The sequence below is a fragment of the Homo sapiens genome, chromosome 22, assembly GCF_000001405.40.
Source record: "Homo sapiens chromosome 22, GRCh38.p14 Primary Assembly".
NCBI classification, from domain to species: Eukaryota; Metazoa; Chordata; class Mammalia; order Primates; family Hominidae; genus Homo; species Homo sapiens.
In genome coordinates, this window is record NC_000022.11 from 48,536,080 (window position 1) to 48,551,282 (window position 15,203).

The 15,203-nt window shown below is 56.9% G+C and overlaps 1 protein-coding gene and 1 long non-coding RNA gene across 2 annotated transcripts in view, besides 2 other annotated features; one reads left to right on the plus strand and one right to left on the minus strand.

The window, feature by feature from the left end:
- Positions 1-15,203, plus strand: part of TAFA5 (TAFA chemokine like family member 5) — a 262,380-nt gene that overhangs the window by 46,527 nt on the left and 200,650 nt on the right. The gene's annotated exons all lie outside the window — the stretch shown is intronic.
- Positions 1,259-2,073: an enhancer, noted in NCBI's record as "H3K4me1 hESC enhancer chr22:48933150-48933964 (GRCh37/hg19 assembly coordinates)". NCBI's record gives its function as "activates a minimal SCP1, AML or CMV promoter by ChIP-STARR-seq in naive H9 embryonic stem cells {active_cell/tissue: H9 hESC(naive)}" and the evidence as "EXISTENCE:reporter gene assay evidence [ECO:0000049][PMID:30033119]".
- LOC284933 (uncharacterized) lies at positions 2,821-11,308 on the minus strand. The gene is made up of 5 exons (NR_038917.1): positions 11,115-11,308; positions 10,614-10,933; positions 10,434-10,524; positions 8,593-8,846; positions 2,821-3,369 (listed from the first exon to the last, which is right to left on the minus strand). It is a non-coding gene; the product is annotated as an uncharacterized LOC284933 (long non-coding RNA).
- Positions 11,988-12,487: an enhancer, noted in NCBI's record as "H3K4me1 hESC enhancer chr22:48943879-48944378 (GRCh37/hg19 assembly coordinates)". NCBI's record gives its function as "activates a minimal SCP1, AML or CMV promoter by ChIP-STARR-seq in primed H9 embryonic stem cells {active_cell/tissue: H9 hESC(primed)}" and the evidence as "EXISTENCE:reporter gene assay evidence [ECO:0000049][PMID:30033119]".

Sequence of the window (15,203 nt, forward strand, 5' to 3'; positions counted from 1 at the left end):
TGCAGCGAGTTCCCGCATGGGTTGGTTTTCGTCTCCTGAAACTAATTTGGCAGAAGCAAGTGTCCATATGTAGGTGTGGGTCTCTGTCTTCATGCGTCCCCCATGCCCCGACACACACACACGTTTCCATTAATTAGCAGGGACTTGGAAACCTACCGTCCCCGGCTCAAGGCAAATGCCAGCAGTCCCGGGTTTTTGTGGGGCAACATAGAGGGAGAATTGTCTATCAGAGGGCTTTCCTCTCGGCAAGCCGGGAAACAAGTGGATGTCCTTTGTCCGCCAACAAGTTATATGTCCATAAAAGACGAGCCCGGAGAGGCAGGCCGTCCTTTCAGCCCTGACAGCGTGTCAGCACCGGGAGCCGGCGCGGGTGGGTAACGAGCGCGCACCGCCCGTGGAGGAACATATGGCTCAGGCGTGCGCCGTGGCTGACGAGTTGTCAGGAATTCATGGCAGGGCTTGTTTTGCCAAACATTTCACTATGGAGGAACAAGGACTCCAACCTGGTTATCAAAATTTGACATTTCGAAACCGCCTGAAGAATTTTTAACTATTGGGTTTCCATGTCAACAGCATGCCTGTCTTCATCTGCGGCCAAGGCTTCCGGCTCCCTGTGCCCTGTGCTGCGGGGAGGACAGAGTGCCTTTGTTTGCAGCCACCCATGGGCACAGGCGGCGCGCACACACATGCACACGGCAGTGGCTTTCTGTGCTCCAGGAGGGTTTACGCTGGGGAAGGGAGGAGCTTCACATCTGTGTGTGGAGGAGTGGCTGGGAGCTGCCCCACAGACCCGAGGCAGCCCCCGGACACCCTGGCACTGGCTGGGCGATGGCAGCGGGGCCTGGCTGGGCTGCAGCTGGCTGAGTTCTGTCGTCTGCAGAGGAGCAGGACCTGGGACGGGGGCTCCCTCTGGACGTGGCTGGCCTGGGTGCCTCTCCTTTAGGAGCTCTTAGTGATGGGTGTGGTCAGGAGGAATGCCACCCCAAACAAAAACCCCCTCGGCCTCCCGGTCTGGCAGGAATTGGGGAGGTCCCGCTGACTTGAGCCAGATGGCTTGGTGCTGGCAGAGGCCCCGATGGAACGGATTGTTCTGTGGCTCTCGTTCCTCTGCCTTTGAGACACCCGGGGTGGGGGCAGGGTGGGGCAGGGGAGGCCGGTGCTGCCACCACATGGCCCGGCTCCCTGGGGACCTGAGGACATGAGGTTCCCGCTCTGTTCTTGGTGCATTTCCAGGCAAGATCGTCATCGTCTGGGAGAGACGGGGTCTGGCCATGGGAGCTCAGGGTGGCGTTCCCCACTCCTCCATCCACTCTAGACCAGGGATGCCAGGGACAAAACCCCAGGGCAGGCCATGTCTGTGTGCCAGGAGGCATGTGGGCAGAGGATGGGGCTTGGTTTCAAATCTGGGCCCTGCCACTTACTGACTCAGCATGCGGCCCTGGCCAGCCTGGCCTCTCAATCCCAGCCCACAGGTCCCACAGTTGGATAAGGCTCCTGGGAGGACCCAGAAGCTGGCAGCAAGGAGCTCCCGATGAGTGTCAAACCAAATGCCATGGCCTCCTTCTTGTTTCAGGGGGAAGCCCAGCCCAGCAGGCACTGCAGCCAGGGTCCTGCAGCTCTCCCTGGGGCCCTGGAGGCCCCTTTCTGCTCCCCTGTCAGAGCGCCCAGCCCAGCAGCCTAGAAGGCCCCACGGTGTCCCCAGACTAAGCCAGGCTCCTGCCGGAGTGAAGAGAGCAGGAGAGGCCTTGGGCAGACCCTGTACCCCTGGTTTCCTGAGGCCTCTCTGGCTGATGGTGGGGATCAGGCTGAGGGTGTAGGGTCAGGGTGAGGGGGTGGCAGGGGCACGATGCCTTCCATTCCCCCGTGGGCCATTTGGCGTGGGGATGCCATGGATCCAGGCAGTGCACGGACCTCTCTGTCACCAGCGCACGGTCAGCTCCACGCCCCTTCCTGAAGGCAGATTCAGGTGTGGATGCTCCGGGTTTTAGGCCGAGTGGCCTGCTTTTATATTGCCAGGAAGCTAAGGATGGTTTTAATCATCTTAAAGGGTTATAACAAAAAAAGAAAAATACGTGAAACCACCGAGATGGCCCGGGGCTGCAGAGCCGAAAATATTGACTACCTGGCGCTCTACCGAAAGTCGCTGCCAGCTCCTGGTTTAGGGGCGGGGATGGGAGATGGGACTGAGCAGGTGGAGGAGGAGGACAGTCCTGGGCAAGGGGCTGAGGGCCGCTGCCCCGAGCCCTGCCCTCAGGCTGGTTGTGAGCCAGGCCATGGGGCGCCCCATCCTCAGGCCAGTTTTCTGGCTCTGGCTGATTCGAGGTAGTTGGGTATTGGCTGGCGAGCTTTCCCTCCCTTGAGCCCTTCAGGATACAGTATCGTCCATGTGGAACTTCGGAGGGCAGAATGAGGACCAGGTGGTGGCCGGAATCAGAGCCAGTCAGCTCTCCCTGCACTGGTGCTGCCTGACAAGCAGTCCAGCTTCTGTGGCCCACAGCAGGGAGCATGACTGTGCCTGCTCATGGGTCTGCCGTGCTCTCTGCTCCGGGCCGCGGTGGGCTCAGGTCTCTTCCACGCGTCTCTGTGCATTCTTGACTAGCTACTTCCCGGCATGGTCTTGCCGTGGGAAATCGCAGGACACCAAACTCAACCTCCGGAGCTCATTGAGGGCTCCTCCTGGGTCACACCCACAAACATCCCACTGGCCAAGTAAGTCCCATGGCCAGTCCTAGGATCAAGGGTGCAGGGAGCTTGTCTCCTTCCACCCTGGAGGTGCGGAATCCAGTCCCCAGGGCCCACAGAGCAGGCAGGTGAATCGTGTCATGTTTATATCTGCATTTTACTGTGACTTTTCAGTTTGTGTTTTATAAAGTGTGCAATAGACTTAACATTTGGAGGCATGAATACGTATTTGTCGGGGGGATACATAGTCGTTTTTGTAAACCAATGGGATGTGAGTTCACAGGGGGTGGGAGCCTGTGGGGTGGGCACTGGCTCGGTCTTCCAGCTCCGAGCTGCTGGCTGAATCCCGGGGAGAGAAGTATCCTGGGGCTTTCTGCTGACCTGCCGAGTAATTGCCATTTTCAGATCTTGGTTTCTTGGTAAATAATGACATTTCTCCATCTCACTGAGGATGCTGGCTGTATGGAAATGAAGACAGGACTGGCCCAGCCAGGGCCCTGGAGAGGTGGCCAGAAAGACCCTGGCGGACTCCTAAATTGGTTTATTTGCCAGATAATCGGAGGCAAAGCCGATACCCTAATAGGACATGGGCTCCTCCAGGCTGTGCGTGGCCGGGCGGTGATCACTCTGAAGTGGTTGTTACTGTTTCCCAGGCAGGAAAAGCTGTTTTGATTTCCCTCTTGGCATCTGTTCTGAAACAAAGACAATTATTGTGTTGACTTTTCTTAAAGACGGAGTTACATTTAGACGGGTGCAGTTTGTCACTGCAACTTTTCTCTTCCCACTTTCTGTATTTTTTTAAGAAGCTAGGAGCCCCTCAGGTGGAAATCGGGAAGGACGAGGAAGGTATGCTGTGCTGAGCTACAGCCAGGTCGGTGCCACCCGACAGGGCCTGCCCACGGGAACAGAGCCTATGAGCAAATGAAGAAATATCCAGCAATGTCGCTGGAGTTCCAGGGCCTGTCAGAGAATTTCAGGAGAGGGCTTAATAGCCGCAGGAAGGCCACAGGGCTCAGCTGACCAGGCAAGGTCACCCCCAGGACGTGATACGTCGGCTGAGAACTGGGTAACAAGGAGCCAGATGGGAAACTTCGAAGTCCCAGAACCTGCCGCCACCAGTGCTGAAGGGGGCAGGGGTACAGGCAGAAGGTGGGAGGGGATGGGGCCTTGCCAGGGAGAGGAGTTTGGTTCGATTCCAGCACTGGAGAGAAAACCGGGGTCTGGCAGAGCCCATGTCCCATGGATTGGGGGGTTGGGAGTGGAACTGGGGGCCTGGGAAGGGTTAGGAGCAGCCGGGTAAAAGCCGGCAAGCCTTGACTGCAGGAGAAGGGCTGGCCCCCTCACCCGCAGTGAACCTGCTGGCCACCAGGACTTGTGCCTTCTTGGGTCTAGCCTTGTGTACGGGAGGGTGAGTTTGCCCAGGTTAGACCCGTGTAGGTCACAAAGGTGTGTTTGAATTCATTTCCCACTGCAGCACCGGTGCAGGTGGGAAATAGAAGGGACCCGTGGGCTGAAGCCTGCTCCCCAGGACCAGGGCGGTGGGGGGAGGTGGATCCCCTGGGTGGAAGCCTGGAAAACCTCTGGAGGGGTGGGGGAGGCAGATCCTGCCTGGACCCCCAGAGAATCCCTCTCCGAGGCCACTTGTGCCCAGAACTGACACCCGCCATGGGAACGATGACCGATTACCCGACCTCTCTGCTCCAGTCCCTGGTCCCCTGAGGTCTAATGGGGCACATAAGCCTTTGACTTCTAGGGTGTCCTCCGCCCCGGCAAAAAGGACCCAGTCCCACCTCGAGGTAAGAAACGCTGAGCGCAGATATGCACAGGAGTTTGCCTTTTTTTTTTTTTGCCTCAAATGCATCTTTTGTTTTTCATGAATCCAAGCCTCGCTTCCTTTTCTTTTTGTTCTTTCTCAAGTTACTGTACTAAAATAATCTTATAATTTGCCAATTATTTCTTCTTTACAAAATGATGTTATTCAGAATTTAGTCACTAATGTACTGTGAAACTTGGCCTCAATTTTAGCTTCAGATGTTTAGAGGAAGATTTTTGTGGCACTCGGTGTAATGGGTTTGTTTTTGTGTTTGCCTGTCAGACCATTTTTCATTGACAGTAAAAAAAAAAAAAAAAAATACAAACAGCAGCCATTTATTAGAAGCCGGCCAGGTAACACAGGTCCTGGTAGCAGCTCTCTGTGTGGACGTGAGGCTCCAGACCTGGGCCAAACCCTGCAGAGGGGCTCACCAAAGGAAAATGGGGATCCTGGGCTGAGGAACCTGTTCAGGGACAGGGGGTGGGGGAGTCAGGGCTGGGAGTGAAGCCCCAGGAAGTCCGCCACTGAACGGCAGCACTTCTCAAGACTTTGCGCCTCCTGGGTGTGTGCACTGGACCCAGAGACACCAGGACCCTGTCCTCCCGGGGCGTTTGTACAGGGCCTTGGAAACCCCAGAAACCTGTACCATTTGGGGCACTTGTGCAGGGACCTGGAGACCCCAGGACCCTATACCCCCTGGGACCTTTGTGCAGGAACCCAGAGACTCCAAGGAGCCTGTCCCTGCTGGGGTGTTTGTGCAGGTACTTGGAGACCCCAGAACCCTGTACCCTTTGGAGCATCGTGCAGGGACTTGGAGACCCTCCCCATTCCCATGCTTTCTGGAGGGCCCGTAGGACCCAGACTTTTGCTGAAGGGCATTGTTTCATTCTTTGTGGAGTCTGCCTCTCTCAGGGAAGACAACTCACAGTTCAGCCTCGGCCGGCTGCTGTTTTCCTTGTCCCAGGTGTGAGGAGCCCAGGCACATTCCCCAGCCCACCTGTATGCCACACAGGGCAACAGGTGCCACCCCCCTGTGTCGGTGTTGGGAGGGTGGAGGGAGGCCAGGGTGGGAGGCCCCATGCAGACCTGCAGTGAGGACTCAGTGCACCTGGCCACAGACACACAGGACCCTCCCCTTGGCTCTGGGCTCAAGTCCTTCTTCAAGGTGGGACTGCTGGGAGGCCTTGACCTCAGGGGTGGCAAGGTCTGCAGCCCTGCCAGGCTCCGGGTCTTGAGTGCCACCACCCGTGCCCTGGGAAGGCCCCAGCAGTGCTGTCTTCCAGCTGGGGGAAGCCGGCTCTGGGCTCCCCCGGGGCATGTTGGGGGCCACAGATACCCCAGGGGATCGTGTGGGTGCTGAGTGGAAGGAGCTCCAGGACGCCGAGTGCAGGGCCTGGGAGGCCAGTGTGCAGGGCCCAGCATCAATCAGCCGCTGTGGTTCTTGTCACCCGGGTGTTCAGATTGGAGGGGCCGGGGCGTGTGTGTGTGGTGTGTGTGTGCGTGTGTGTGTGTGCATGTGTGATGTGTGTGTGGTGTGTGTGTGTGTGGTGTGTGTGATGTGTATGTGTGTGTGTGGGTGTGGGGGGTGTGTGTGCATGTGTGATGTGTGTGTCGTGTGTATGTGTGTGTGATGTACATGATGTGTGGTGTGTGTGCTGTGTGTGTGTGCATATGTGTGTGTATGTGTGTGTGGTGTGTGTGGGGGGTGTGTGTGCATGTGTGATGTGTGTGTAGTGTGTATGTGTGTGTGATGTGTGTGGTGTGTGTGTGGTGTGTGTGCATATGTGTGTGTGCGGGTGTGTGGTGTGTGTGTGTGGTGTGTGTGTGCGTGTGTGGCGTGTGTGGTGTGTATGTGTGTGGTGTGTGTGTGGTGTATGTGCGGGTGTGTGTTGTGTATGTGTGTGTGGTGTGTGTGTGGTGTGTGTGCGTGTGTGGCATGTGTGTGTGCATGTGTGGTGTGTGGTGTGTGTGTGATGTGTATGTGTGTGTGGTGTGTGTGGTGTGTGTGCGGGTGTGTGGTGTGTATGTGTGTGTGGTGTGTGTGTGGTGTGTGTGGGTGTGTGATGTGTGTGTGTGGTGTGTGTGTGGTGTGTGTGTGATGTTTGTGTGGTGTATGTGTGGTGTGTGTGATGTGTGTATTAGTGTGTGTGTGGTGTGTATAGTGATATGTGTACTGGTGTACTGTGGGGTGTATGATGTGTGGTGTATGTCATGTGTGGTGTACAGTGTGTGATGTGTATGGTGTGTGTGTGTGGTGTGTATGTGTGTGTGATGTGTTTGTGTAGAGTATGTATGGTGTGTGTGATGTGTGTATTTGTGTGTGTGGTGTGTATAGTGATATGTGTACTGGTGTACTGTCTGGGGTGTATAGTCTGTGGTGTGTGTCGTGTGTGGTGTGTAGTGTGTGATGTGTATGGTGTGTAGTGTGTGGAGAAGTGTCCATGACCACTCTACATAGTGGGACCCCGATCTGGCAGTGTGTGACTTGCTGAGGGGCACAGAGAGGGGAGAGTGGTCTGGGGTCTGCATCCACCTGGAGCCCTCCACGTCCTCCCCTGGCATCTGCGTCTCTGAACATCTCCTGGGGAGCCGGGGGTCGTTTGTCTCCTCCAGCCCTGTTGAAAATGAGGATCTCTGACGCTTTGGCCCTTATTACCAATCAGCCAGGCCGCTCCCCTCCCCGGGGAAGAGATGGGGCCCAAGTCGTTTTTTGCAATAACATTTGTGGAACTTAAAGACAAAATCCTTCATAAAAGGATCGTAAAGTGTAATCACGGCAATGAAGCAGGCCCGAGTGGAGGGGAGGTGACCTTTCCGGCCACTCTCTGGAGGAAATGTCACCCAGGAACAGCAGGTGGTGGGGGCCTTGCCTCCAAGGAGAGCCTCCCTGCTGGTCTGGCCTTGGCGGGGTAGGGGCAACCTCCTACGGGGGGACCCTCGCTGCTGCTCATGGAACCCTCCCGCCATGACAGAGCAGGACACCTCAGGCCCGCTGCTGACCGCAGTCTGGAGAGGAGATATTATCCTTGCTGCAGTGGAGATGGCTGCACCTCACTGGAGGCCTCCCCGCTCTGGCTTGCTGTGTTCTCAACTTCCTGGGGGACTGTGTCCCTGCTCGGGCAGAGCCCACTGACTCCAGGCCTGCTCAGTGCAGAGGCTGCTCCAGGCTGAGTATCTCTGGGACCTGTGGCATTCAGTTAGGCTCTGGACAGGCCAGGTGTCTGCCCCAGCAGGCAGCTTCCCTCCAGGCGGGGCATCCGGGCTTCCAAGATAACTCTCCATTTGACCCTCATTCTCCACCTGGAGAGGCATGGGTGATCCCCTTGTGGGGCTCCAGAAGACCCCAGAAAATGATGGCTTTCAGGGCTGGAGTTGGTCTCTGATAAGCCGAGGAGCTCCCAGGGGCCTGGGGGGCTCCAGGCAGCCCACACCATGGATGTCTGTCCTTGGTCATGTGCCAGTGCCATGGGTACCTGGGTGCTCAGCAGGACAGCAGGGTGGGCTGCAGAGACCACCTGCTCCCAAGTGCTCCGTTGGCCAGAGCTGTCAGCCAGGGTGTGTCATGGTGTCTGGGGTGTGCACCCTGGGGTGGGGTCTTCCCTTCAGGTCCCATGGTTTACATACCATCTCCATGACCCTAACTTCACAGAGCCCCACCCAGCTCTGATACCCGCCACACTGGCAGAGTGGGGTCCAGGACCTCTGCAGAGCTGTGGACCTGGGGGGCATCCTCCCCCTGCGTTGTCTGCCCCCTCTATGGGAGGAGGCTGCACAGGGCAAGCCAATGCCACTGGCTTGGGGGCAGTTCAGGCTCTGTCCCCACTCCACGGCCAGTCTTGGGTTTGCCAGGGACTCCGTCAGCCCGTCCCTCGAGGTGACATCTGACAAGGCAGCCGTTTGTTGAAATATGCAGACCTCTGCACCACATGCTAATCTGGGCTTTTTTCAAATGAGCTGCAGCACCAGGAGGGTGCAACGGCGCTAACTGCATCAGCACATGCCAGCTTCCTCCCAGAGCTGCACAGAGCGGCACAGCTGGCTAGGTGCCTTGCATTTCCACCCCCCTTCTTAAGGCCTGATGTGCACTAAGCACTCACTCTGGACTTGCTGTGTCCCTGCGTGCCCGCAGATGAGGGTGCATGTTGGTCTCAGTCCCCACTCCGGGCTGCGGGGAGGCTGACTTGGAGAAATTGTTGAGTTCTGGCTGTTACCACGATCTAGGCGAGGCCTGCAAACAAGGTGTGGCCTGGGGTCCCACGCTGCCTCTGAGGTGAGAGAGCCCTGAGGGATCCTGAAGTAAGCCAGACTCGGGGCTGAAGTCTGCATCTGTCCCACCTCCTGCCGCAAGGCCCTACGGGTGTGAAGGAAGGATGCTGAGCGCACCTGCTTTTCAGTGGGCAGCAGCCGCCTCTCCTTTGCTGCGTGGTGGGAGCAGTCCAGCCAGCCCCCAGTGGCTCAGTCAACAGGCGGAAGGACTCTCAGGGGAACCATGACTTTCACCATCTCCAGATGGATTCCCGGATCATGAGGTTCTAAGCGAGTCTTCAGGTTTGGAGAAAGTGGACTGTATTTGTGGGAGACACTATTCTCTCTCCCTCTTGCTCTGCCCTCCCCTCAGTCTTTCCGCCACTCACTGAAGCCTGCCATCCAGACCGTGCCATGCTGCCATTTGGCGTAAGGCCTCTGGTCTCGGAATTCCCTGGCACAGTGTTCCTGGTGGCCCCTGCCTCAGAGGGGGCTGGATCTGCCCCGGGTCACAGCACTCATAGGACACTGTTGTGATTGCAATTATTTGGCTGCTCCCTGACCTGAGTGAGACACCCATGAGGGCAGCAACCCTATGTCTTGTATCTCCTAATGCCTAGTGGATAGCGCAGCACACAGTAGGTGCTTAATGAATGTTTCTGGGTTATGCAGTGATTACTCTGAACCCAGCTGCCACTCACAATCTCTTTGGAACTAGGTTGGGTGTTATGGAGCATCCTGTGTTGGTGCTGGGAGAGGTGGAGGCTCTGGGGCTGCCGCTGTTTTCAGGACCCCTGCTATTCCTGGGCAGACAGGGCCGACACCCAGAAATCATCCAGGAGCAGTACCAGGTGGGCTCTAGGGTGTGGAGACAGCTGGGCAGGTCCCTTGGGTGCAGGAGAGAGGGAGGGGAAATTGCTGCAGTTACCTAGTGCCCCAAGGAGATTGTCGCCTGGGCACCTGAGAGACCCCAGGACACAGTCCCCACGGCCCGTTCCAGTTAGAGGCTCTTTGTCAACAGATGCCCCTGGAGTCCGGCAGGGCAGATTAATACATGAATGAGTGGGTGAAGGTGTGAGTGCTGCCTGCTATAACTTGGCTGGGTTCTGCCACCCTGGGGAAGGGGAGTGCCAGGATCTGTGAGCCTCAAGCAGGTCCCACCCAAGGGAGCTGCTCCGGAGGCTCTGGGTGGCCAGGCCCGTCGCTGGGCGGGAGGAGAGCCAGGCACATGCTCGGTTTTGGGGCTGGCCCTCCCATCCCATCACGGGCACAACTTGGGCGGGCAGCCTGGAGGAGCAGGTGGGCTCGCTGAGTCGGGAGGAGGAGGGCTCCCCTTCAGCCCGGAAGAAGCGTGCCTCCCCATGGGGACTGCGCCTGCACGTGGCCAGCAGGCAGAGTCCACTCCTTGGTCAGCACTTCACAGCAAATGCATTCCCAGCAGCTGAGGCTCCCATGCCGGCGTGCGCTGACGGCATTGTCAGTCCTCATGTTGTGCCTGCCCGTCCCAGGGCAAGGTGGCCTGAGTCCACTGCAAAGTCCTTGATTAATTCAGCAAACACATGCTGTGCTGAGCACTGGATGGCTCTTGGAGGTCCCCGAGTGACCATCGGACACTGCCCTATCCTCTTGGAGCTTGTGGGGGAAAGAATCCCCTTTCTCAAACGGGGTGTGTGGACGCCCCTGTTTTTCTCACCTGGCTGGGCAGCCCGCGGCTGTGGGATGAGAGATACGGATGATGTGGACTGCTGAGCAAGGGATGTGCATCCAGCGAGCTTTGGGGAATCCTAAAAGGATCAAGAGTGCGTGAGGGCATGGCCTGGCGAGTCCTCCTCCTACTTCCCATCTGTGAGGGTCCGCAGGATGGGGGGCTCACCTCCATTCCTCCAGGTGCCCAGCACTCATGTTCCACACTCAAATGCCCCTCTGCAGTTCTGGAAAGGCTCACTAGGCCATCCGCTGTTTCAGGAGGGTTGATTCCCGAAGTCACCGGCTCTGGTCACTTCCAGGAGGCTCCACCCTCTCGTGCGGGGAGGACGATTGCGGATGGCCACAAGCTGTTACTACCGACTGTCTTGACTCCGTTCAGCAAGGATTGAAAATAGCCAGTTGGCCAGACTCAATCTTTGTCTTGTTTTAAAAGAGTTTGTTTTTCCAGACTCTGTCCAAGTCTGTTTTAATCCACCCAAAGAGGAGCTAAGTTTGATAAATAAAAGAAGATTAAAAATGGTAGAGAAAAATGTGTTTCCCCCCAGCTCCCAAGAGAGTACTGCCAAAATTGAAGTGTAGAAACAAAAATAGAAATGATCAAAACGTCTGATGGTATCTATATTTTCAAATGAAAAGGCAGAGGGAGTCTTTCAGCCCAACCACTTACGGGAAGATGCGGCGGGCCTGGGAGCTCACCTCGGCTCCCCTGCGCCTAGTGGGAGTCAGGACTGGAAGCTCCTCTTCCTCTGCTGGTGGGCCTCACGCCGTGGATCGAGGGGGTCCCTGAGTTGTTCATGGAGGGGAATGTTGCTTTGGAACAATCAGGGGAGCTCTTGGGGCTTCAGGGGCCTCTTGGGATCCAGCCTTTCCCCAGGTGTTTGCATTCCTTTGTAGAAGGGGAAGTGAGGATACCTTTGTTTGTGATGTCACATCAGCCCCAAGCCTGGAGCCCCCATACTGGGTGAGAGATGGGGGAGACGGGCACCAGCCATGGTTGCTGGGCCAGAGCTGAAGCAGCTGGGAGACTCTTCACTGTGCAATAGTGACAGTAATGGGGAGAGCCGCTCGTGTTCAGGGGTGCTGCCTTATGTACCGGCCCTTGGTTCTCCACTTTAGGGACATTATCTGATTTCATGGCAACCTCGTAAGCCAGTGACTCAGAGTGGGGTCCCAGTGGCATTGGCACAGCCTTGGGAGCGTGTTAGGAATGTCCATCTCTGGCCCCACTCAGACCTGCGGAGTCCGAGACTCTGGGGTGGGTCTCAGTGTCTCCGTCTCTCTCCAGAGGACTCTGAGTTTGACGACTGCCGCTGCATTTCACACGTGGAGAAGGTTGGAAATGTCACCGTTAACTATTGAGCCCAGCATCCCATGGCTAACCGGTGATAGCGCCAGAGTGGAAATAGGGCGGTCTTCACTGAGAACCTACCCTCGAGCCCTGGCCCTGTCCTCCAGCCCCAGTCCTGCCCTGTTGTGTGATGTGTTCTTCCTGCCTGCGTCTTCGGAGGTCCCAGGAGTGAGGAAGGTGACCCTGGGACCTCCCCCGAGTGAACATGGCAGCTGGTGCTGCAGGTGCACAGGCCCAGCTTCAGGCGCAGGAGGCCCGGGGGTGCCTGATGGGGATCTGGCCCCGTGGGGCTTTGTCCAGTTTCTCTGTGGCCAGCTGCACACATGTGGGTGTTGACACCCATTAGGATTGCTCTTTCTCTTAAGTGAGTGTAGCGAGGAGGATGGCTGGAAATGCCATGTGCAGCTGCAGTCCCGAAGCTGCCCGCCTCTCTGGGTCATCATCTCCCTGCCCTCCTGCTCCCTCGCCCCGCCGACTGTGGAGATGACTCGTCCTGCCATGCCTTTTAGCATGAGCTTGTGTTTCCAACCAGTATATATTTTTTGAGATTGGGTGCCTGTCTCTGGAACAAACCAGAAACTCGGGCCTCACAGTGCTGTTCGGGACCCTGGGTCAGCAGTGGTGGCTTTGACCGTGGGTCTGTGGGTCAGCTACAGTGGGGTCAGACTGGACCCCAGGCTCCAGGCTCTGGGGCAGGGGAGTGGACTGGGGGAGCTTTGCTGCTCTCGGCAGGCTGGGCTCCAGGTGGTGGGTTGGGTTCAGGGCTGCATTTCACAGGGGCAGGCCCAGCCTCAGAACCACATCACTGCCAGCCCCTCCAGGTCATGAAAATCCCACTGGCTAAAGCAGGCCACATGGCCAAGCGCAGCATCAGCGCAGGTGAGAGCGTGCATGAGAGTTTTCCCAACAGTCGCCTAACAACCGAAGTCTCTTATCTCCTGGCCCCTTTAATCCAGTTCCCTATACTACCTGGCATACAGCAGGTGCTTATTAAATGCTTGGCCCACTGCTGGACTAAAGTCATTTGGTTTCACTGAACTCATTGTCTTTTTGGGAATTATATCACAAGAAGCCTTCACACCCATGCTGGAAGAGCCTTTTGGCCAAAGAGAAGTTCTTTATAGCGATCAGATTGACCTAAAGAAGAGTTTTCCCACATAAAATGTGAATTCATTGGCATGAAATGACACAGTTTCATCATACATTGTCTCCTGAGTAGAAATAGGAAGAGTAAACACATACCACACCTTTCTCAAAGGGAATGAGCCTCGCTTCCAGCCAAAGGCAGGATTCATGATCCCATTTCTCTGCCTTGATTCTCTTTAGACAGTCACCAAAAAATTAATTGCCAAGTAGTCTGCAGTGTGTAGACACAGAGGGCTTCCAGCCCAGGCCTGATGTTGATACCTGCTCATCAGCGTGTTTGAATTACCTGGACCATCAATAAATGCCCGGAACAATATGAGCTTCAGGGACATGGAATCCATTCGCCACCAGGCAGCTGGTGGTCAGCACTGAGCAGGGAGATGGGTGGCTAGTACTGGATCCGTGCTCTTCTGAACTTTGGTGCAGCAAATGATTCTGCATGCATTCCAGAAAGTGGCCCTAATTTGAATTTAAATCTTATTCATGGTATTCATGTGGTGGCATTTGGAGAAGGGGACACCATGACAATACCAAGCAGGATGCAGGGACTCAGCAAAAGCAGGCGCAGGTGCCTCCCAAGGGACCACCTGCTCCTGTAAAACTGCAGTGGTCCTGCCTATCCTGCTTTTGGAGATGACTGCCCCTGATGGTGTGGCAGGGCCAGGGCCAGGCTTTGGGCTTCAGGACCAGGCAGTGCCGGGTTGGGCTTCATCTTCCACACCAACTGCTGTGTGGCCTGGAGTGGTTGTCAGAGCTGTGGCAACTGTGCACATTGAGGACAAGCACGGGCCCCTGCCCAGGTCTGAGGACTAAGTTCGGAGATGGATGAACAGGCAAAGTCCCCCGCTAGCAGTGCCAGACGCCCTCGGGAATTGGACTTGTGGTCCTGGGTGTTCATTGCCAGCTTGCTCTGCACCAGGCGAGGTCCGAATGATTTCCTTGCAATGATGCACTCATCCCTGAGGCCACCCTGTCAGGTACTGTCACATCCCTCTCCTTCTCAAAGAGAAACCGAGTCACAGAGTGTTTCAGTAACTGAGAACATTAAGTGACTCGTATGTGGCAAAGCTGGCCTGTATCAGAAGCTGGGAACTTTGGGGTATGCTGGGCATGGGTGTAGCAGCCTGTGTGTGTCCACCCGAGGTGGCCCTGCCCTGTTTCCACACACAGCCTACCTAGAGCTAGAGAAGGCTCCAGGAGTTGAGTGCTTGGCTCCAGGGCCTGGGCAGATGGCGCATCTGGCCGGGATAAGGTGTAGGCCTGGGAGAACAGGGTCAGTGCAGGCCACAGGTGAGGCCAGATGCAGACAGGAGCGCCATGAGAGGGCAAGGGCTTCCAGGCTGGCACATGGGCCTCTCATGCACCTTTCCCACAGACTGGTCGGAGGTGCCCAGCAGGACCCTGGATGGCTCTCTGGGAGTAAGCTAAGAGGTCACATCTGGATGGAACCAGATGTGAGGGCTTTGACCCCCACGGAGCCAGGTGCCCCTGGGAAATGCCGGCATTGTGTGAAGGAGTGTCTTGTATCAAAGCAGATATGCCCTGCCCCCTACCCTCATCCCACGGTTCCTAGCAGGTTCCATCGCCTTCCGCACTTGATGCTGCTGGATCCTCCCAAGGTCCCTTTGCAGGTTGGAACCTGCGGCTCCAAGGTGAGGTGGCTTGCCTGGGACCACACAGTGGTTGGGTGTGGAGTCCGGACAAGGTACATCCTGATCCAGGGCCCCCTACTCTGATCCACGGGTGTCTGGGCTCCAGAAAGCTTTCTCTGACCTTCTTGTTCTCGGGAAAGAGCGGTGCCTCCAGGATTCAGGCCTGAGTCGTGCCCGGGACCATGTGGATCCCTTTCGTTCCTGTGTCACCTGGGGGTGAGGCAGACATTCCTAGTCCTGCTTGGGGCATCGTAAGATGGGCTGCTGTGGTGTCCCCTCCCCACCAGGGCTGCTCTGAGGGCCCTGGTCCTGATTTGGACATCATAAGATGGGCTGCTGTGGTGTCCCCTCTCCCCCAGGGCTGCTCTGAGGGCACCCCTGGGGAACATCATGCAAAGTCCTCCGTGCCCCTCTGGGGCACGGGGTGAGGTCCCTCCCTGTGGTGTCTCAGTGAGCAGGAGGCAGGCACAGCATGAATGTGGCCTCTGACAGCACAGCCATGCTGAAGACCCCTCAGCCTGGGCTCCCAGGGCCCCTGACCCTGACCTGGACAAGGCTGGGCCTGCAGCACCCTGGAAGGCAGGGAGCCCCCCAGGTCAGTGCGTCTGAG